This window comes from Homo sapiens, chromosome 4 (assembly GCF_000001405.40).
Source record: "Homo sapiens chromosome 4, GRCh38.p14 Primary Assembly".
Classification (NCBI taxonomy): Eukaryota; Metazoa; Chordata; class Mammalia; order Primates; family Hominidae; genus Homo; species Homo sapiens.
The window spans coordinates 164,343,690-164,368,301 of NC_000004.12; the positions used below are offsets into that span (position 1 = coordinate 164,343,690).

General features: G+C 35.3%; 1 protein-coding gene across 5 annotated transcripts in view, besides 1 other annotated feature; it reads right to left on the reverse strand.

Moving 5' to 3' along the window:
• MARCHF1 (membrane associated ring-CH-type finger 1) overlaps positions 1-24,612 on the reverse strand; it is an 859,722-nt gene that overhangs the window by 819,392 nt on the left and 15,718 nt on the right. The window lies entirely within an intron of this gene.
• Positions 7,334-7,951: an enhancer, noted in NCBI's record as "NANOG-H3K27ac-H3K4me1 hESC enhancer chr4:165272175-165272792 (GRCh37/hg19 assembly coordinates)". NCBI's record gives its function as "activates a minimal SCP1, AML or CMV promoter by ChIP-STARR-seq in naive H9 embryonic stem cells {active_cell/tissue: H9 hESC(naive)}" and the evidence as "EXISTENCE:reporter gene assay evidence [ECO:0000049][PMID:30033119]".

Consider the following 24,612-nt stretch of genomic DNA (forward strand, 5'->3'; position numbering starts at 1 on the left):
CAGTCAGAATGGCTATTATTAAAAAGTCAAAAAATAACAGATGCTGATGAGGTTGCCGAGAAATGGAAACACTTATACATTGCTGATGGAAATGTAAATTAGTTCAGTGATTGTGGAAAGCAGCGTGGTGATTTCTCAAAGAACTCAAAACAGTTACTGTTTGACCCAACAGTCTCATTATTGGGTATATACTCAAAGGAATATAAACAGTTCTACCATAAAGACACATACACACATATCTTCATCACAGCATTATTCACAATCACAAAGTCATGGAATCAACCTAAATGCCTATCAACAGTAAACTAGATAAAGAAAATGTAGTACATATATATCATGGACTACTATGCAGCCATAAGAAAGAACAAGAGCATGTCCTTTGCACAGCATGGATGGTGCTGGAGGCCACAATCCTAAGCAAACAAACACAAGAACAGAAAACCAAATACCACATGTTCTCACTTATAAGTGGGAGCTAAGCACTAAGTACATATGCACACAAAGAAGGGAACAGCAGACACCAGGACCTACTTGAGGGTGGAGGGAAGGAGGAGGGAGAAGATCGGAAAACAATGTATCTGGTACTATGTTTATTACTGGAGTGAAAAAATAATCTGTACACTAAACTCCTTTGACACAGGTTTACTTATGTAACAAACCTCGATGTGTACCCCTGAACCTAAAATAAAAGTTAAAAAATAAGTCTGTTTATTGATCAGTATTTCCTTCAGAAAATAAGAATATGTGTGTTTGTGCACATGCACGTGTTTGTGTGTGTGTGTGTGTGTGTGTGTGTGTGTTTTGGTCAGCACTTTTGAAAACTAAAGTGAAGACTTTATCTGCACTGATAAAATTTGATTTTTTTGTATATTTAATTTTCTGTGTCAACACTCTGCTGTGTTAGTTGGGTAAGTGAAACCAAGTGATAAAAATTTAAATTTACTAAGGATCTAGAAAGGCAACTATCCTTAAAGGACTAGCATTCAGAAATTAATTTGGAGTTTGTGAACTACTTTTTGCCCTGTTATGCTACTTAACTATTAACTTTGGCAAAACCTAACCTCTCTGCCCATCCATCAACATACAAAGAAATAAAACTAAAAATAGCAAGCAACGCCCCTGTCCTGAAGCAACCTACCCAGCATTACAAATTAAAGAAACTGAAGATTAGACTAAAGAAGTCCTTTGCTCTTTGTATCTAAAAAGTCTTGTTCTTCATAACCAAAATCAATTCATTCATAGGCTCATTAATGAAGTTTTCTCTTTGGCAAATTGTAATTAAATATTTCACACATGCTAAGCCACTATGCTTGTCACTAAATCTATAATTAGTAGGCCAAAACGTTACAGCTAAACAGGAAAAATAAGTGCTAGTGCTCTATACCATTGTAGGATAACTGTAGTTATCAATAATATATATTTTCAAATAGCTAGAAGGAGAATATTAAAAATTCCTAACACAAATAATAAATGTTGATATGATGGCTATGTTAATACCCTGATCTGTTCACCATACATTATGTGTCTTAAAACATTACGATGTACTCCATGAATATGTACAACTATTGTTTGTCAATTAAAAAAATAAAATGTATGGCTGGGCACAGTGGTTCAGGCCTGTAATCCTTGTACTGTGGAACATCAAGGCCAAAGGATCACTTGAGTCCAGCAGTTCAAGACCAGCCTGGGGAACATGGTGAATCCCTGTCCTATCTCTACTAAAAATGCAAAAATTACCTGGGTGTAGTGGCGCATGCTTGTAATCCCAGCTACTTGGGAGGCTAGACATTAAAATCACTTCAACCCAGAGGTAGAGGCTGCAGTGAGCCAAGATGGTGCCACTGCACTCCAGCCTGGGCAACTGAGCAAGAATCTGTCTCAAACATAATAATAATAATAATAATAATAATAATAATAATAATAATAAATTTAAAAGCATAAAATTTAAAACTTTAAAGTTTTCCTGTAGCTAACACATCACGCAAATTTGACTTTGCTTAATACCTTACTGTGAACTCTTGTCAATGTTAAATATTGTTATTGGACCTTGGCTTCCCTACTAGATATTGTTGTGGTATTTTATCATCTGCTGCTGGTTTTTTGTTTTCAAAGTTGTTTATTTTTTTCTAATTTTTTCCAACACTTAAGCACTCCTGAATTCCATAACTTCATAATGCATTGTAAATATTGGAAGCTTTCTGAAGAATTTAATAAGAGATATACTAAAGCCCATTTTAATGACTCACAATAAAATCATTCATGATGCCTTTATTAGTAATTGAATAAATAAACAAGATCAGGCTTTTACATAAAGTTCATTTTTAACAATAAAATGAATGTTTTTCAGGCCAATGGTTTGATTGGTACTAAAACAAATTCACCACTCTGGTTAAGAGCTGACATGGCAAATGTGCAGCTTATGACCACATTATTTCTTTGGGTATCAGAACTGAGACTTTGTTCTCATTAGCTCTGAGTAAATGAGTTAAACAGAACTAAACAGATAATGCCCTAGGTATATCAGGATATAGAAAATGAGTCTCTTAGGAGTTGAGCTCAAGTAATAAAGAGACAAAGGACATACTGGCATAACTAGAATTTTACGTTCTATAAATGTGCAGAAGTCAAATGTTATTAAATAGGTAGAACCACTGACATGGTAAAAAGAAAAACTCGTATGCTTTGAGAAACTGTGATTTTATAATTTTCTACAATCCACTGTTTATTGAAGAGCAGATAAATCTGAGTTGCACTGATTGCATATACTTAGTCTTTAAAGAATACATCACAATTGCTAGACTGAAAGGCCCTGGAGGCCAGGTCTTCATCTTTTGCCTCTTGGTATCTGTAGTACCAAACCCAGTAATGAATGGACCTGACAAATGCTGATGTCCTCAAACCTGTATGTATGTATGTATATATATATATATATATATATATATATATATATATATATATATATATATATATATATATATATGTCCATATGCTTTTATAAGCACTAAAGCATGAAAAATGCTTATTCTTTTCATTTCAGAGATGGTATGGAATTAAACAATGGCTTTATTGTGCAGCACCTAGCATGAGTATCAGGTAGTACAGTTATAATTTTTTGAATGAATGAATGCAGATTTGCAGAGAACCATATACTTTATAGCGATTTTCATCATACCTAAAAGAGTCAGGAGTATCCCTCTTTAAACATCTTTAGGAAAAATGTAAATGTAAATACAAAATATTTTAATTCTTTAATTTAGAAAACTCCCTGTTTTTTAAGACTCATATTTCCAGACTAGATTTTTAAAATTCATTTTATCCTGGCATTCACAACTGGGACTCCCCTCCAACTGAGTGTTTGCTGGGAAGACATGGACCCTTGCTTATATACTGATGTTTCCCAAACACATTGAACTGAATCCGGCCATAGTTGGTACTCCACATTTGCCAAATAAATAAAGAACATGTGAAAAAAAAATTGTGAGGAACAACTTGAATTTGCACTAAGCTAAATGAAGAAGTGATGTGCTATTCTAGAACACCTCTTTTGAATATCCTTATTTTTATTTAATCCATCATTTTTCATTGTCAGAGGTGCCAGATTTTATTTCTATGTGTCCTTCCAAATGCTGCTGAACTAGGACTGCCTCTGGTGACTTGTATGGCTGAAGAATCAGGTAAATTCTTTTCTTTGCCAGAAACAAGTATCTCTTTTAGGTAAAGGGGCCAGGTGTTTTCCTCTATTATCCCACTCAGCCAAGGGGCTTGACATACCCTCTGCATCATGTCAAATTCAATGTTTATTTCCTTTGACTGTTCTTACCTATTTTTATTTTCTTTTAATTTATCATATTGCTAAAAGGCAACTTGTTCCGTTTTCCAAAGTGGGCTAATTATTTAGTTCTAAGATATCCACCGTGCTGCCATTTTTTAGAATAATCAAAACATTCCTAATCTTAGTTCTCAAAATAAGACATCAGTTACAACTCTTAATAGCTTTTTAGTGGAGAACAGTACTGAGGAAAAATTGTTATTTGTGAGTTCTGCAGTTACTAGAAGGTTTTGTACTTCATGGACATTAATTTAGGGATTGTAGGGTAAACTGGAAACAAAAACCAAGATGCTCAAAGAAACAAAATGAAAAATATCTATTTTAGAGCTATTTAAAATGAATAGAAAATGTTTATGTTCATGGTGTTTAATGCCATTTATTATATATTTTCATTTTGTCAGTATATAGCATTTAAGAAGTGTATCAGTACTTAGCATTTAAGAAGTTGACCTTTTCCTAATCCTATCAGACTTTAAAAATTTAGTTGAGAAGGGAGGGCAGGCAGAATTAAATGATAAGCATAAATTAAATGAAAAAGAATTGAACACTTGCCTGTGGGAGGTGGTGGCAATCTGACATTTTTGCAATTTTCTAGAAGCAGATGAAAAAGAGAGAGATAAAATCCAGACATGTTTCTCAATAATTGGCATCAAAAGAGTATGCTTCTTTTTTTTTGTAGAAGATCAGACTTACTTAAAAGCATGGAGTTCACTCAGCAGCCCATAGTGCATTTTAGCCAATATTGATTTATAAACTTTCTTTTGGGAGGAAGGAAGAAAGGAAGAAGAAAGATTCATCCTGACTTGCTTCAAAACAAAATGAGGAATAGAGATACAATATTTATTTAATTTTTATGAACACAATTCTTTCACTTCTACATGAATGTTGGAATTTATCTAATCCAAACTTCTTTTGACTCTCATGGTTTGTTCCCTTGACCTGGAAGTGCCAAAGACATAGATATGACGTAGCTTATTTGTAAGTAGATGTTGCTCTCCTTGGTGCTACATGAAGAATCCAAATGGCAGAGAACATACTGATATTCTTTCTAAGAAGGCTTAGAGACAGATCTTGAGAAACACAGGGCTCCAAAGTCCATGAGAAGTTAATATCAGTATCATTTCTAAATAGAAATAAAACTATGGACAGAGAATGAATTAATAATAACAAGTAAGCATTATGGAAAAACAGCAAAGGAAACAGGAGACACTATTCTCGCCTAGAAACATGGTCTCCTGGTCTTCAGTCATTAAGTGACCATGGCAGGGGGTGTTTGGTCAGTTCATCCATACACACTCAAGATTATTTATTGAAATACTACTATATTGCTTGCACTCTTCCAGATACAGAAGATACCACAAAGAATTAGCCAGATAAGCTCCCTGATTTAGAGTGTCTCATACTCTAGTGAAGACAGTTAATTCATAATCAACAAAACCTGCTTTGAGGATCTAAGGGTAAGCAATGCTTTATTATACCCAAAGAATCTCCTCTATCTGGGAAGGCTTTACTTTTCCCACCAGATGGAAATGGTACTGATGCACACAGAACAGGGTCGGGTAACGGTGGAGGAGGGAAAATTAGTCCCTCTCCCTACCAGATCTGTGGAATCCATTCTATCAACCTTTCAGTTACCAAAATAGATCTGCCCTGACTCATAAGTTCATGTTTAGCTTCATGGTATGTAATGTATATCCTCTTAAAACGACACAAATGAATTGAAAGTTAATTCTACTTCTCAAAGTGCTATGAACTCCAAGAATGTTTTCTGCTCTATCTCCTGGGTAGAAGTTAAATCTGAGAAAAGTTACAATACCTCTGCATTTTTATTCCTCTCATCTCCAACAGTATTGTTAAAATAAGACATAATAATATGAAACCATCATCTACTCAACATCTTTCAATTTTGAAGTATTCTTTTTTTGATAACAATCCCATTCAGAACTATCAATCTTTATATAAGAAAGGCTGGTGGTACTTTTTTCTAATATATATCCTTTTCAAAGTACAGTACTTATTTTCTAGTATTTGTCCAATATTATAGTTTTCATGTCCTTTTATGGGAATGCTTCTGGAATTAGTACAATTTTAGAGAGTAAAAGTTTTCATAAGACTTCAAGTACTCTATAATTTATAGGACTTGAATATCATAATCAAAATCACTATACTTACAAGGATATTTATCAGCACATAGCAGTTACCTATAAAAGAATGTAATATAAAGAAAGAAATAAGGAGGAAGATGGAAAAATATTTCTTCAGCACTTGAGGTAAAACAGGAAAGTCACATGTAATGATGGTATTTAAACTTATCCACTCAAATTGTTCAAAAGTTGTCAAGAGATTTCAAACATACAGAAGACAATGTAACATAGTGGTTAAAAAACTTACCTTTTGAAGTCAGAAACATGAAAGCTGGAATTTCAACTCTATCACTTATGATTGTATGATTTTGGTCAACCAAGCTTCAGTTTCTTCATTACAAAATTGAGGTCATAGAACATATTTTGCATAGTTCTGAGATTAAATTGCAATGTTCACAATGCATGTAAAACATATTCAAGTGAATAAGAACATCTATTTAAACAAATATATACATATTTTAATAATCCAAGAAAAGAAAAAGATGCTTTACTCTCATAGTCATGGTATTGTATACTGATGTGTATGTATATGTATGTGTATGCTGACTCACTGTGCAAAAAGTCTATGTTTAAAATCAGGTGTGCCATCAGAAAAATAAATACTGCACATTCTTACTCATATGTAAGAGCCAAAGAAAACTGAGTTCATTCAAGTTCAGAGTAGAATTGAGGTTAGTAAAGTGGGAAGGGTTGGGGGGAAGGGAGGATAGGGAGAGGTTTGTTAATGGATAGAAAATCACAGCTAGATAAGAGGAATAAGTTCTAGTGTTCTATGACACCATAGGATGAATATATTTAATAATTTATTGTATATTTCCAAAAAGCTAAAAGAGAGGATTTTGAATCTTCCCAACTCAAAGAAATAATAAATGTTTGAGGTGATGGATAAGCTAATTACTGATTTGATCTCTACACGCTATATACACGTATCAAAATATCACTCTGTGTCCCATAAATATGTACAATTATTTCTTGTCAACTAAAAGAAAAAGAAAAAACAATGTGTGCCAATCTAGCCTCATATACCAAAGCATAGTACAATGTTACCTTTCCTTATTTAGGAGAAGCCAGTTCAATAGTATTGTTGGGAGGAGGAGCCAAGATGGCCGAATAGGAACAGCTCCGGTCTACAGCTCCCAGCGTGAGCGACGCAGAAGATGGGTGATTTCTGCATTTCCATCTGAGGTACCGCATTCATCTCACTAGGGAGTGCCAGACAGTGGGCGCAGGCGAGTGGGTGCGTGCACCGGGCGCGAGCCGAAGCAGGGCGAGGCATTGCCTCACCTGGGAAGCGCAAGGGGTCAGGGAGTTCCCTTTCCGAGTCAAAGAAAGGGGTGACGGACGCACCTGGAAAATCGGGTTACTCCCACCCGAATACTGCGCTTTTCAGACCAGCTTAAAAAACGGCGCACCACAAGATTATATCCCTCACCTGGCTCGGAGGGTCCTACCCCACGGAATCTCGCTGATTGCTAGCACAGCAGCCTGAGATCAAACTGCAAGGCGGCAGCGAGGCTGGGGTAGGGGCGCCCGCCATTGCCCAGGCTTGCTTAGGTAAACAAAGCAGCCTGGAAGCTCCAACTGGGTGGAGCCCACGACAGCTCAAGGAGGCCTGCCTGCCTCTGTAGGCTCCACCTCTGGGGGCAGGGCACAGTCAAACAAAAAGACAGCAGTAACCTCTGCAGACTTAAATGTCCCTGTCTGACAGCTTTGAAGAGAGCAGTGGTTCTCCCAGCAGGCAGCTGGAGATCTGAGAATGGGCAGACTGCCTCCTCAAGTGGGTCCCTGACCCCTGACCCCCGAGCAGCCTAACTGGGAGGCACCCCCCAGCAGGGGCACACTGACACCTCACACGGCAGGGTATTCCAACAGACCTGCAGCTGACAGTCCTGTCTGTTAGAAGGAAAACTAACAAACAGAAAGGACATCCACACCAAAAACCCATCTGTACATCACCATCATCAAGACCAAAAGTAGATAAAACCACAAAGATGGGGAAAAAACAGAACAGAAAAACTGGAAACTCTAAAAAGCAGAGCGCCTCTCCGCCTCCAAAGGAACGCAGTTTCTCACCAGCAGCGGAACAAAGCTGGATGGAGAATGACTTTGATGAGCTGAGAGAAGAAGGCTTCAGACGATCAAATTACTCTGAGCTACGGGAGGACATTCAAACCAAAGGCAAAGAAGTTGAAAACTTTGAAAAAAATTTAGAAGAATGTATAACTAGAAGAACCAATACAGACAAGTGCTTAAAGGAGCTGATGGAGCTGAAAACCAAGGCTCGAGAACTACGTGAAGAATGCAGAAGCCTCAGGAGCTGATGCGATCAACTGGAAGAAAGGGTATCAGCAATGGAAGATGAAATGAATGAAATGAAGCGAGAAGGGAAGTTTAGAGAAAAAAGAATAAAAAGAAATGAGCAAAGCCTCCAAGAAATATGGGACTATGTGAAAAGACCAAATCTACGTCTGATTGATGTACCTGAAAGTGATGCGGAGAATGGAACCAAGTTGGAAAACACTCTGCAGGATATTATCCAGGAGAACTTCCCCAATCTAGCAAGGCAGGCCAATGTTCAGATTCAGGAAATACAGAGAACGCCACAAAGATACTCCTCGAGAAGAGCAACTCCAAGACACATAATTGTCAGATTCACCAAAGTTGAAATGAAGGAAAAAATGTTAAGGGCAGCCAGAGAGAAAGGTCGGGTTACCCTCAAAGGGAAGCCCATCAGACTAACAGCGGATCTCTCGACAGAAACCCTACAAGCCAGAAGAGAGTGGGGGCCAATATTCAACATTCTTAAAGAAAAGAATTTTCAACCCAGAATTTCATATCCAGCCAAACTAAGCTTCATAAGTGAAGGAGAAATAAAATACTTTACAGACAAGCAAATGCTGAGAGATTTTGTCACCACCAGGCCTGCCCTAAAAGAGTTCCTGAAGGAAGCGCTAAACATGGAAAGGAACAACCGGTACCAGCCGCTGCAAAATCATGCCAAAATGTAAAGACCATCGAGGCTAGGAAGAAACTGCATCAACTAACGAGCAAAATAACCAGCTAACATCATAATGACAGGATCAAATTCACACATAACAATATTAACTTTAAATGTAAATGGACTAAATGCTCCAATTAAAAGACACAGACTGGCAAGTTGGATAAAGAGTCAAGACCCATCAGTGTGCTGTATTCAGGAAACCCATCTCACGTGCAGAGACGCACATAGGCTCAAAATAAAAGGATGGAGGAAGATCTACCAAGCAAATGGAAAACAAAAAAAGGCAGGGGTTGCAATCCTAGTCTCTGATAAAACAGACTTTAAACCAACAAAGATCAAAAGAGACAAAGAAGGCCATTACATAATGGTAAAGGGATCAATTCAACAAGAGGAGCTAACTATCCTAAATATATATGCACCCAATACAGGAGCACCCAGATTCATAAAGCAAGTCCTGAGTGACCTACAAAGAGACTTAGACTCCCACACATTAATAATGGGAGACTTTAACACCCCACTGTCAACATTAGACAGATCAACGAGACAGAAAGTCAACAAGGATACCCAGGAATTGAACTCAGCTCTGTACCAAGCGGACCTAATAGACATCTACAGAACTCTCCACCCCAAATCAACAGAATATACATTTTTTTCAGCACCACACCACACCTATTCCAAAATTGACCACATAGTTGGAAGTAAAGCTCTCCTCAGCAAATGTAAAAGAACAGAAATTATAACAAACTATCTCTCAGACCACAGTGCAATCAAACTAGAACTCAGGATTAAGAATCTCACTCAAAACCGCTCAACTACATGGAAACTGAACAACCTGCTCCTGAATGACTACTGGGTACATAACGAAATGAAGGCAGAAATAAAGATGTTCTTTGAAACCAACGAGAACAAAGACACAACATACCAGAATCTCTGGGACGCATTCAAAGCAGTGTGTAGAGGGAAATTTATAGCACTAAATGCCCACAAGAGAAAGCAGGAAAGATCCAAAATTGACACCCTAACATCACAATTAAAAGAACTAGAAAAGCAAGAGCAAACACATTCAAAAGCTAGCAGAAGGCAAGAAATAACTAAAATCAGAGCAGAACTGAAGGAAATAGAGACACAAAAAACCCTTCAAAAAATCAATGAATCCAGGAACTGGTTTTTTGAAAGGATCAACAAAATTGATAGACTGCTAGCAAGACTAATAAAGAAAAAAAGAGAGAAGAATCAAATAGACACAATAAAAAATGATAAAGGGGATATCACCACTGATCCCACAGAAATACAAACTACCATCAGAGAATACTACAAACACCTCTACGCAAATAAACTAGAAAATCTAGAAGAAATGGATACATTCCTCGACACATACGCTCTCCCAAGACTAAACCAGGAAGAAGTTGAATCTCTGAATAGACGAATAACAGGAGCTGAAATTGGGGCAATAATCAATAGTTTACCAACCAAAAAGAGTCCAGGACCAGATGGATTCACAGCCGAATTCTACCAGAGGTACAAGGAGGAACTGGTACCATTCGTTCTGAAACTATTCCAATCAATAGAAAGAGAGGGAACCCTCCCTAACTCATTTTATGAGGCCAGCATTATTCTGATACCAAAGCCGGGCAGAGACACAACCAAAAAAGAGAATTTTAGACCAATATCCTTGATGAACATTGATGCAAAAATCCTCAATAAAATACTGGAAAACCGAATCCAGCAGCACATCAAAAAGCTTATCCACCATGATCAAGTGGGCTTCATCCCTGGGATGCAAGGCTGGTTCAATATACGCAAATCAACAAATGTAATCCAGCATATAAACAGAGCCAAAGACAAAAACCACATGATTATCTCAATAGATGCAGAAAAAGCCTTTGACAAAATTCAACAACCCTTCATGCTAAAAACTCTCAATAAATTAGGTATTGATGGGACGTATTTCAAAATAATAAGAGCTGTCTATGACAGACCCACAGCCAATATCATACTGAATGGGCAAAAACTGGAAGCATTCCCTTTGAAAACTGGCACAAGACAGGGATGCCCTCTCTCACCACTCCTATTCAACATAGTGTTGGAAGTTCTGGCCAGGGCAATCAGGCAGGAGAAGGAAATAAAGGGTATTCAATTAGGAAAAGAGGAAGTCAAATTGTCCCTGTTTGCAGACGACATGATTGTTTATCTAGAAAACCCCATTGTCTCAGCCCAAAATCTCCTTAAGCTGATAAGCAACTTCAGCAAAGTCTCAGGATATAAAATCAATGTACAAAAATCACAAGCATTCTTATACACCAACAACAGACAAACAGAGAGCCAAATCATGAGTGAACTCCCATTCACAATTGCTTCAAAAAGAATAAAATACCTAGGAATCCAACTTACAAGGGATGTGAAGGACCTCTTCAAGGAGAACTACAAACCACTGCTCAAGGAAATAAAAGAGGATACAAACAAATGGAAGAACATTCCATGCTCATGGGTAGGAAGAACCAATATCGTGAAAATGGCCATACTGCCCAAGGTAATTTACAGATTCAATGCCATCCCCATCAAGCTACCAATGACTTTCTTCACAGAATTGGAAAAAACTACTTTAAAGTTCATATGGAACCAAAAAAGAGCCTGCATCGCCAAGTCAATCCTAAGCCAAAAGAACAAAGCTGGAGGCATCACACTACCTGACTTCAAACTATACTACAAGGCTACAGTAACCAAAACAACATGGTACTGGTACCAAAACAGAGATATAGATCAATGGAACAGAACAGAGCCCTCAGAAATAACGCCGCATACCTACAAGTATCTGATCTTTGACAAACCTGAGAAAAACAAGCAATGGGGAAAGGATTCCCTATTTAATAAATGGTGCTGGGAAAACTGGCTAGCCATATGTAGAAAGCTGAAACTGGATCCCTTCCTTACACCTTATACAAAAATCAATTCAAGATGGATTAAAGATTTAAACGTTAGACCTAAAACCATAAAAACCCTAGAAGAAAACCTAGGCATTACCATTCAGGACATAGGCATGGGCAAGGACTTCATGTCCAAAACACCAAAAGCACTGGCAACAAAAGCCAAAATTGACAAATGGGATCTAGTTAAACTAAAGAGCTTCTGCACAGCAAAAGAAACTACCATCAGAGTGAACAGGCAACCTACAACATGGGAGAAAATTTTCACAACCTACTCATCTGACAAAGGGCTAATATCCAGAATCTACAATGAACTCTAACAAATTTACAAGAAAAAAACAAACAACCCCATCAAAAAGTGGGCGAAGGACATGAACAGACACTTCTCAAAAGAAGACATTTATGCAGCCAAAAAACACATGAAAAAATGCTCACCATCACTGGCCATCAGAGAAATGCAAATCAAAGCCACTATGAGACATCATCTCACACCAGTTAGAATGGCAATCATTAAAAAGTCAGGAAACAACAGGTGCTGGAGAGGATGTGGAGAAATAGGAACACTTTTGCACTGTTGGTGGGACTGTAAACTAGTTCAACCATTGTGGAAGTCAGTGTGGCGATTCCTCAGGGATCTAGAACTAGAAATACCATTTGACCCAGCCATCCCATTACTGGGTATATACCCAAATGACTATAAATCATGCTGCTATAAAGACACATGAACAGGTATGTTTATTGTGGCATTATTCACAATAGAAAAGACTTGGAACCAACCCAAATGTCCAACAATGATAGACTGGATTAAGAAAATGTGGCACATATACACCATGGAATACTATGCAGCCATAAAAAATGATGAGTTCATGTCCTTTGTAGGGACATGGATGAAATTGGAAATCATCATTCTCAGTAAACTATCTCAAGAACAAAAAACCAAACACCGCATATTCTCACTCATAGGTGGGAATTGAACAATGAGATCACATGGACACATGAAGGGGATCACACTCTGGGGACTGTGGTGGGGTGGGGGGAGTGGGGAGGGTTAGCATTGGGAGATATACCTAAGGCTAGATGACGAGTTAGTGGGTGCAGCGCACCAGCATGGCACATGTATACATATGTAACTAACCTGCACATTGTGCACATGTACCCTAAAACTTAAAGTATAATAAAAAAAAAAGAAAAGCAAAAAAAAAAAAAATAGTATTGTTAACACTTTTGTCCATTGTATTAGTTCTCTATTACTGCACAAATCAGAAAAATATTAGTGGTTTATCATGCTCTCACTTACAAGTGGGAGCTAAATGTTGAGAACACATGGACACATAGAGGAGAACAACAGACACTGGGGCCTACTTGTCTGGGCCCCAGTGGGTGGAGGGTAGGAGGCAGGAGGGGATCAGGAAAGATAACTAGTGGGTAGGCTTAATACCTGGGTGACAAGATAATCTGTACAACAAACCCCCACAAGTTTACCTATATAACAAATCTGCATATGCACCCCTGAACTTAAGTTTTTTTTTAAGAAAAAAAAAAATAAATAAAAATTTAGTGGTTTAAAACAACACAAATGCATTATCTTACAATTCTAGGGGTTCAGAAGTCCCAAATCAGTTTCAGCAAGTTAAACATGACCAGGGCTCATTCATTTTTCGCGACTGTGAGGGGAGAATCTGTATCTTTGTCTTTTCAGCTTCTAGCGGCCACTTAGATTTCTTGGTTTGTGGCTCCTTCCTCCATCTCCAAAGCTCATCACTTCATTGTCTTTCTGCCATCACATCTCTTTTTCTGAGTCAGGTTCCTCTGGATTCCCTCTTATAAAGATCTTTGTGATTACAGTTTGCCACACCCAGAATCATCTCCCCATCTCAAGATCCTTAATTTAATCATATCTGCAAAGTCACTTTAGTTAAATAAAGTAACATGCACAGGTTCAGCGCATATGAGATGAAGGTTTTGAATTAGGAGGGTGTAATTCAGTCTACCACACCCATGTAAGATAATAAGAGATGCTAATTTTGAAAAATTGTAATGCAATTAAATACACTTAAGAGAATAATTCTGAGTATAGCCAATTTTCAAGGTAGAAGAAAATCAGAATCTTATAATGATGAAGGCATTGTAAAAATGAATATTATTTTACAATGGGTACTGAAGTGTCAATTGATAACAACTAAAACAGCTTCTTTCTGTCCTCCCCAATACCAACAGCATAAAACCTTTAGCTAGGTATTCAGTCTGTACAAAATAGATTTTTAAGAAATAATTTTTCCCTAAAACCTCAGAAGAAAAGGAAAACAATCATTTTCTAGAAAGAAACATCATCAGAAAGAGTTTCAGATTCTCCCACAGAGCTGTAGATTTTCGGTGATCAGGTGACAGATGACAAGGTGAGAAACATAAGAGAAGTAAAGGCTGTAGAAATTACACACTGGGGCTATTTTTTCCTAATAAATACAAGATGAATCACTCTTGAGGAAGGTGAGAAAATTCCCTCCACAAAAACTTAGAGCTTACATTAATCAGTCCACATTATGCAACTAGAGCCCAGGGTGAGTCAGAGGAGACTTTGTAAAGCCTCTTCTGCTAGGTAAGGTTTGCTTCTCAGACTGACCCCACGTGTTAATGAAGATTTAGATGTGTACCAGGAGGCCACAGCATCCTCTTGGAATGCCTAGAAATAGATACAGGTCATAAAGGGGAAGCCTTGAACTTGCCAATGTCACTGGGGGACATAAATGCTATAAAGAAAGTCACTAGTCAACTTATTTTGAATATGAGCTATCCAAGGAAGTTTTCTTTGCACCAGAGAAAGAATTATAAGATAGAAGAAACTATGGCTCAGTTTGAGAAGAAAACTGATAAGAAACAGAATTGCAAGAATTTCAAAATGAAACGTACTAAACAGGATATCTGAAATTAGTTTTACAGAAATAAATGACATTTTCAACATGAATTTTGCTTTGGTGACATACACAGAATGAAGAGAAAGTGAAAGGAGATATTACTGGGTAAATGGTAGTTGGTAGACCTGGTTCACTTCAGTAGTTTATCATTTAAGTAGCTATCTTTAAAGAAGGAAGTCAGTGAATAAAATCATGAGGTTGTAATTGGATTAATATTATCAATAGTATCCCAAGAAAATGAAATGTGGTTTCTATTAAACCAAGTTCAGAATAGTTCATGGAATAGAAATGTTATAGAGTAACATTTATTATTTTAAGAACCAGCTTTTTCTGACTACTGATAATATTGGACATCGAGCAATTGGATTTTTAAAAAATGAAAACATAAAAATGTTAAAAGACGCTCCAAAGGTCATTTTTTCATGTATTTTTATAGCAATGATGTTTTTCTTTAAAATATATGGAGGAAAATATGATAATACATTATATCAATCCATTTAAGAAAGATCTTTCTCTTATTACTCTGAAAAAACTGACAAATTACAAAAACAAAAATTTTTGTTTTATTCTGGGGATTCAGAGTAAACATTTCTAGTGCGATAGATATATGTAATAGGAAAGCAATTCTGTTGCTTTGCACCAAGCAGTTAGAGAATATTCGGAAGATGTGGCCATTCACATCGTGCTTTAAGCACTCTATTAACTCCAGTGATGTGTGTCATTGCATGTGTGTGGTAGTTCTGAGAGATAGTTCTCTATTCATGAAAGAATGTTTGGGGAAGAATTTGTTCTTTCTCTCGTTTGCCACTGTTTTCAGCATTGTTGTCTAATGCATTTAAAAGTTCTGAACAAACTTCAGCAGATCTGTCTGAAGTGAGATCCTTCCATCAAGCTACTATTTCTGCTACACTTCAAGATAAATCCCTGAACTGCTTCCTCTGTTGAGAAGAGAGACATTTCCTATGGTATGATGCTTAGTCAAGCTCATCTGAAGTCCTTACTTCTGATACGCTGTATGTACATTATGGAATTTCATCATTTCATCATCCATACTCTATATAGGAAAGTGAATATACATTTTAATCAACTACAACAGAATATTCAAATTGTTTTTATGCTGCCATCTCAATGTGGGAGCTTTAATAAAGTAACTAAGGAATTCTCCAGAGCTTAACTATTTATTGTTATTATAGTAAGTTCTCTGCTGTAACAATGTCTATTTTTTAATGTCCTTATAAATACTGACAGTGCTGTAACATATGTGCTTACATTTTAGCTACCACCTGTAAGTCCATCTCTCCAGTAAACACAAGCCTCTAGGAAAATGACAGGCTGTGTTCTCATTTAAACTGTCAGAACCTCTGGGAGTAGGGCCCAGAAATCTGGTTTTTAGCAGTTCTAAAGGGGACTGTGATTCACACAAAAATCTGAGAACCACAGATAGAGACTTTTTAAATTAAAAAATGACATTATTCCAGAGAGTGTCATATTCTAGTAGGCCGTGTGAACCCCACCCCCCAGAACACTCCGCGCAATCAGTATGCGGGCAGGTATTGCACACCTATTATAGCAACACTTGCCCCAGCTTATCTCATTCATTGTCCTTGTGTAATCGTTAACAAGAGCATCACAAAAATTTTGTGACCCAGCAGAGCCACTGGGCTTTTCTCCTACCAGGTTTGTCTGCAAGATAAAAGCTTCCAGCTGTATCCACTGGCAAAAAAGAAAAAAAAATCCAGATTTTGCAAAATATTTGATACTGCAGGTGGCTATCTTGCGAGGTTTCCCAGGTACAGTGGTCTCTTAGGCATCTGACTCCCTGTTGAGTGAAGAAGGGGAATTCTAGGTCTCCAAAAAATCCATAACAGGAATTCCTGCTATTTGTAGATTCTTATGTCTCTATTATTTTCTTCGCTTTAAAATAGTTGGAGGGAGAAGTGGTTGGGAGAAAACTAAGACAATAAAAAACAATTCCTACTGCATGGTGATGGTATGTGTTCATATTCGAACAGGAATATGTTTTATTCCAACAGTGTTTTATGAAGTTGTAGTTCAGTGTACATAGGCATCACCCAAAGAGTTGTTTAAGTGTCGATTTTTCAGCCCCACCCAAAGAGTTCTACTGAGATGGGGCTCCAAATTTTCATAGCCCTTCTAAAAGATTCTTACTCAGGTGATCCATGGATATGCTTGGAGAAACACTACAGTAAGTGGCCTGCAGCACTGTTCTCTCTGCTACGGTCTCCAAAACTTCTATTGCAATTGTCATTTTCATATATCAATTTATAATAATAGCTAAAAGATTCTCTAACTTGGAATTCTATAGTAAAAGAAATAATTAGTGGAGAATACCTGAACCCATAATTGGTAGTAAACTATAGGTACTATTTCTATACTATTTCTAAATTATCTTAGGCAAATACACATAAAATGAACCTACTGATATGCATGGGTTCTGTATGCAGAATTTTAAAATTACATACACAACACTGTACCATAATGACCCTAGAGCACCTGATGGTCTAGAGCACTTGATGGTCTAGGGTCATTATGGTACAGTGCTGTGTATCATAACACTGGTCTTGATGATAGTTCATCCACATAAAGGACTGGTGAAACACTTGGCTAAACATGACCAAAGCATATCAGTTTTAATCCCGACTCTACTCTTTTCCTCTTCTGATGCTTTATTAGTTAATTCTCTCCTCTGCCCTGCTATCTTTTAAGTTTCACACTTGCATTTAAAAATGGACATTTCCTTTTATCAAACTTTTATATTAATTACAAGAATCCTTATTCTTTTTGCCCACAGTTATTCGAAGCTCAAATTAAATTAGACCCTTCAGCAACCACCATCCTCCTACAACTGCAACCGTTGTCACACTTCCTAATTTGCTAATATATGAATCAGTACAATATAAATCTATAAAGAAATTGGATGTCATTCCATTATGGGCCTTACCAAAGATCTGCAGTATCTACTGAAACTGCTGTTTATCTAGAAACAGAACAGTTTCCTGGCCCCCACCTTCTCATCTAGACTCTGCCTCTGTGATTTTTCTCTCATTTTTGTATATATTCATGCAACTCTGAGCTTCGCCTGTCTCTTACTACCACTGTAGAAAGCTGTTTTTGATATGAGTGATAACGTATGCCAAAAGAATCCTTCACCATGAGAATTTATTGTAGCGTAATCAATATATTACATGCTTTTCTGAGGTTTTCATTTTAAACATGTACAATTTTAAATGATAACTTACTAAGGAAGGACTTAATAAATGGGTAAGTATACAAACTTCTGGAATGGATTTTGAAATTACATTCACAACACTGTACCATAATGGCCATAGAGCACATGATTTAATTTACATCTCATTTACAGAAATGAATGCCAACAATTTTAATCATGTATTTCTATCTAGTTGGCCCAAGTATTACAAATTCAGAGTAATACTTTGCTCATGGGTAAATTATGCATTTGGGGATACACTTAAGCTCATGGGTAAATTATGCACTTGTAGATTTCAAGGTTGACTCTTCATTCATATTTTTCCCTCAGTAAACACCAAATGGTTTTATCACAAAAAATGTAGTTTAAATTTAAGTATGACTGGGGTATGGAGGTAAGAGATGTAGTAAGTGAACAAATAAAGAAACTGGCTTGTATAGAAAACCTTTTCTACAATGATTAATATCTAAAACCTACAGACATTTGTGTGTGATTATATCTAAGACAGAGATACATACTTTTAAAAAAATTAATCTTTCAAACTTGTGAATAATTCTATTTTGTTTTAAAATGTCCAACTTTCTATTACTTGTACTGTTAGAGGAAAATAGTGATGTACCCCAAACCAGAAAAATCTAGATGATCAACAATCATTTTTATTAGTGAAAATGTCTGGGAGACATGAGTCCAGGGGGTACATGATTATGTGGGTGAAGATCAGGGCCATACAGGGAGCTAGAGGAAGCTCTGCCTCCACCAGGGGCCTTGTACCCACATTTATTGACACATAGATGCCCAAGGCTAATTGGACTAGAAACCAGCCACGTTTTACTACCAAGAAGTGGTCAGAAATTTTCTCGCATAAACCAAACTAATAACTGAGGTTCAAATGGTGCACACTTTTGTTACTAGTTAAAACTTAAATAGTGATCTCTGACTTAGACAAGCAAAGAAAATAACAGATACAAAATCACAGGGAATTTGCATAACAATTTTAAACATAATTTAGTGAGAGACAAAAACATAAATTTTTGCCATGGCTAGAAACTCATTTACAAATAGTATCATCTATAAATAGATGTTCCTCTGTTCCAATTTCTCATTTTGATATTTTATTTTATGATGATCCTCCTAAACTGCCTTATTTGTCTTTCAATTGTTTTTCTGGAAAACTGTTTCTCTGCAATATATAATTGTTAAGATCATTTCTCACAATGTCTAAAAAAATACTAATTAGAATACATAAGCTCTTGTTGCATACATAATTGCTGTAGTCTGCAACAGTCCAACAACCCAGAAGGTAAAAGGCTTATTAACAATAAACCCACAAGAAAACAATTTAGTATACATAAAATATACATATGTTCTATTCTGTTTCAAAGTTAAACACGGCAGACTTTTATAGAATCAATAAATGGTATAAGAAAAGATATATCCAGATGATATAAAATAAAAATGTGTAATTACAGACTGAACCTGGGGAAAAAAATAACAGCAGAAACTGGGTAGACTAAGAAAGGCCAATTTTCTTTCTCTGAAGAAGTAGGAAAATGTGAATATTTCAATATTTAACAGTTTAAACAAAACTATAAACTACTTCTTATCTTTCTGAGATAACTCTTTCTCCTAAGAAGAAAATGTGAATATTTAAATATTTAACAAACAGTTGAAACCAAACTATAAACTACTTCTTATCTTTGTGAGAGAATTCCAGGGCACCAAAACTATAACTGGCAGATTTTCTCTGGATAGCTAGAAATAGAACAGAGGCCACTAGAGATGTGGATAGTGTCGATTGACGAAAAGGCATCCACAGGACCCTACGAGTAGAAAAGCCAACAAAGTTCATCCAGGTAGCTCCTGGCCATAAATTTTTGGGGGGAAAAAGGACAAAACAGAAATAGGGCTACTCAAGAAGTAAAATAGTTTAAGTGGATCAACTGGTCCCTTCTGAACCAGCAAATCTGCTGTAAACAAAACCGTCATTCAATGTAAATGCCCTGCATTGTATTATTTAACATTACATTATTAATAAGCCGTGTGTGTGTGTGTGTGTCTGTGTTCTTACATACTATGGATCTACATCACATGCCACCTCATTAGCTCTCCTATTGAGTAGAGAATGTAGGGGTCTTCTGGTGTTATCAGCAATGTTCAATTCAGCAAGCACAATGATAGGGTTTCAAATACAAAAGAATGCTTTCCTTTGTATTAGAAACCCTAATCATCATAAAAATATACAAAAAAGAATGAATATTTTCCTTTTGTAACATTAATTTTTTGTCGTCCATTATTTAGATTTTATCATTATTATATTGCGTAAACATCTAGAAAAATTAGGAAATGTAGCAGCCTTATTTATCAAAGAAGGGAAGGGAGAGACCAGACATCTTAAATCAAAAATTAGAAATGATTTTAGAACAAACATTTTTAATAACCTTTAGTCAGTCAGAGAAAAGTTCTGGTATTTCTTGAAAACAATATGTTTGTGCATTAGACCATTTCATTTGGATTACAGACAGATTATGTGCAAGTTCATATAGTCAGTAAAAACGTGAGTAAAGGACTAAAGGCTCCTACCAGAGCCCTTGAATATCTGATTTCTTTCTGAAATTTAGAGATCACTTTTGAATTTAGCAAATCTTAAAAATACATTCATTTTGTGAGTTGTAGTGGTAAATAAAGTAAGCATCTGAACCAAAATATGAATAAAAACCACTATCTATCACAAAGGAAATTGTTTAACTCTGCATTTTAATGACAAATCTACTCATTTATTTTTGTGCTCATATTTAACGTTGAACATACATTTTACAACTCTCCATATTCAATTTGCCACCCCTTGTTCTGATTTTTCTTCATTTTAATGTTTCCTTCAGAGGTTTCCCATTTATTCTTAGAGTTAAATTTTTCAATCTCAAATTTTTTGTAATGCCTCTGTAACCTTCTCTTGAACAATTTTCCTTTTTTTTTTTAAATAAAAAGACAATTCCTTCTTTTCTCTTAATCCTTTTATTCACCATTTGATGAAGGTAGTTTAACCCATTTGAGGTTTTTCTTTCACATATTTCCCTCACCATTTTTTCCTTTATCTTTTCTAGCCATTTTTTATTTTTGTAATTCTATAACCTGTAGATTATCTGATCTATTCATCTTTTCACAGCTGTTCCTCAGGGTAGAGTAACACACAAAATATTCAATAAAATCATTCAGTTAATGAAACTCAATAAAACTGAAGATTCATACCACAAAATTTAGACCATTTGAAATATTTTTTATCCCTCAAAATTGATAATTATGGAATTATTATTTAAAAGGAAGTGGAGTTGACATCCAGTTAACCAGGCTGATTACTATGTCTTCATCATTCCCTGCCACGAATAGAGTAACAGATTCTTGGACTGAATGCAATCAGTGACACTTCCTAAATGTATAAAATAAATGCACCTTTAAAAAAAGAAATGCCTTAGAAATACTTACATGAGAAATATCTATCTGGACTCACATAAAAAGTGAATTCGAGAAAAATGCAAATATTTAGTGAAAAAAGGTTGATTCAGGTTGGTTTTCACAATGCGTCATTTCCATTCTACTTCCATTCGACTGTTTTAAATTTTATTTGGCATTAACAAGACTTTGCTTTCTTAAGTAGAAATTGATATGTGTTGGCTAGATCTTTCTTGTTTCATAAGACAGAGAAAAATCGTAAGGTAACAGAAAATAAACATAACTGTAGATTGTGTTAAGAAAAACCAAGCTTCTACTTCATCTCTGAAAAACAAAATTTAGCACAGATGTAAAGGAAAATAAATGATAATTATAATAAGAGCAGTTAACAATGACTAAATATTTATGTATAAGGCCTTTGTAAGCACTACTTTATTTAATATAGCAATCTCATTTACTTAGATGTTATCATTCATACTTTACCAATGAGAAATTTGAGGATTAGAAGAATTAAGCTATGTCCCCAATGTCAGAGGCCAATGAAAAGTTGAACTAGATTTGAACTCCTGTTTGTTGATTTCAGTTGGTGCATCAAATCATCACATTTTGACAGGTCTCATTAACTAGGGAAAACCTTTCTATATAAACAAGTATATATGCTAACATTATTTTGTATGAAAATTATGAAAGCCCTTGAGAAGAAAAATATAAGGCATCTAACCTTAATCTCCCCCTCCTCCTATCCTTCACTTCATCATGATGCCTTCCCAGGCTCCTCAAGTTTTGATCATCTCTCTCCCCTCTGAAACGCACACATTGCATACATTTGTTTTGAACAAGAAGTTGCAAGACTCTCTGTGTATTTTCTATTGTTATAGTAATTTGGCTAATTATTACCAGAAAAAAAGGATGATATCATAAATAGAACTATGAATATAAAATCAGAAAAGTTGTGTTAAAATCCTGACAATATTTAATGGGGCACAATCATTAACCTTCCAATACAAGTTTCGCATTCAAGGGCATATAAATAATACTTCTGCATATTTCATAGGGCTTGTCCATTCCAATAAACAGTCCAATAGACATATACATAGTAATGAATTGTGGCTAGGCTATGCAGATACAAACATAGTCCTGGCTCTTATAAAGTTTACACTCCAGGAGAAGGGCCAGCATAGAAAAGACTGTAGTGATAACTGAACTGAAAAATGGATGTGCATATAATCTTTTATAAAATTAAAGAATAACATAAATATAACTTAATATTGTATTTTTTTCTTTTTCTGTGTTGCATACATTCAAGTTCCTAGGAGGAAGCAGTTTGTCTTATACTGACAGGTTAAGGACCTGACCCTTCTACATAGACATACAACAAATACTATAATTTTAAAGCATTTTATTGAAAATATGATTGAAAAATATTAAATATATTTTTGATAAAGGAAAAATATCAGCATAATTTTATCATTTTGACAAAACTGTTGCATTTTTGCCTCATTTTTTCCAGTTAGCTATATAATTTTATTTATTGTATATGCATTTTAGTATGTTTCAGCATATTAAATTTTTATTTTATACCATTATATCTTCTTATATTATAAAAGTTTTATACATGTTTATTTATATGTACCTGTCACCTACATTTACAGTAAAAATTAGGGTAATTTTCTTATTTCTAAGTGTTTCAGAACAGTTTAATTCAAAATAATTTACTCATTATTTATGTCATTACTAAGCACCAACCTCACAGCATTTTTACCTTAATTCAAACCACTGCAATATTGCAAATTTGTGTCATTTAGTTCCTAACACAAGGCCTAAGTTTCTTCCATTCTTTTAGGTACAGTCTAGTTACCAAACGGAGAAAATCTTGTTACAAAAGTGACATGTGTTCAGAGGGCCCAAGCACCGGAGAGAGGGAATTTTTTTCACAGAAACCATTGCCATACAAGTATAGTCATATTTCAAATATAGACAGACTTGCCTACTCATGTCCAAATTTCTCCTTATTACATTTTCTTAGCTTGTGACTGGCACTTCCAGAAAAAATACTAAATGGTAATGGTGATCATGGAGAGTCTTCTATTATTCCTAATTTTATACAGACAGCATACTGAAATTGTTACTCTAAGCATCAGGTTAAATATGTATTTATCCATACTAAGGAAAATTCCTTCTATTGCTTTACTAATGTGTTTAAATCAGAAATGTATTTGTATATTATCAAAAATCACTTGAACATCTATTGAAAATATCTAGTAATATTTACCCTTAAAATGTTAATTGGATGAAATATATTAATAGGTCTTCTAAAGTTAAAAAGTTATTCCTAGAAATAACTTCGTTTTTATACTTTATTGTTTTAATATATCTCCATATTCCTTTTCTTGATTTTTTTTCCTGAATTTTGACACCAATATTCACTTGGTAGGAATGACTTAGATTTAAAGTTCTTCCTTTTCCCCTTCTTTTTTACCTTTATTTTCTTTTTCCAATTTTCTACAACGTTTGTTTACATTATGCATATTTCTTAAAAATTAGGTTGTTTTTATTTTTCAGTATTCTAAAACAATTTAAATTGAAATTTAATTATCTTTTTTTAAAGTTTTAAATAAATTCACCTGTGAAATTGCATGAGTCCAGTGCAGGAAGGTGTAAATTAACCTTCTTAGAGTCTTTTTGCTTCTTTTGTTTAGTATCTTTTGTATCTCCATCATCTCTTAAGTCCAATATTCAAACACTATATGTATATCAAAATTTGGCAATAGTGCTAAAGTAGTATATAGTGTGAAAATACACCCCTTGAAGTACACATCAGAAAAGATAAAAATGTTAATGAGCTAAGAATTCAACACAAAAAAAAGATTTAAAAAAAGACAATAAAAGATTAAACCCAAGAAATCAGAAAATAGAAAAATATCACTGAATGAACTAGAAAAAAAAAACCACAAAGAAATGGTTTTCTTTAAAAAACTGATTTTTCTTATATATGTTTAAAAAATAGCCAAATCCTAGGTGAAAAAAAAAAATCTTTGGTAATAAAAATAATATCATATAATTCTAGATGAAGTAGAGATTTTTTTAAAATCATAAAGATATATTATGTTGAATAATTTAAGAACA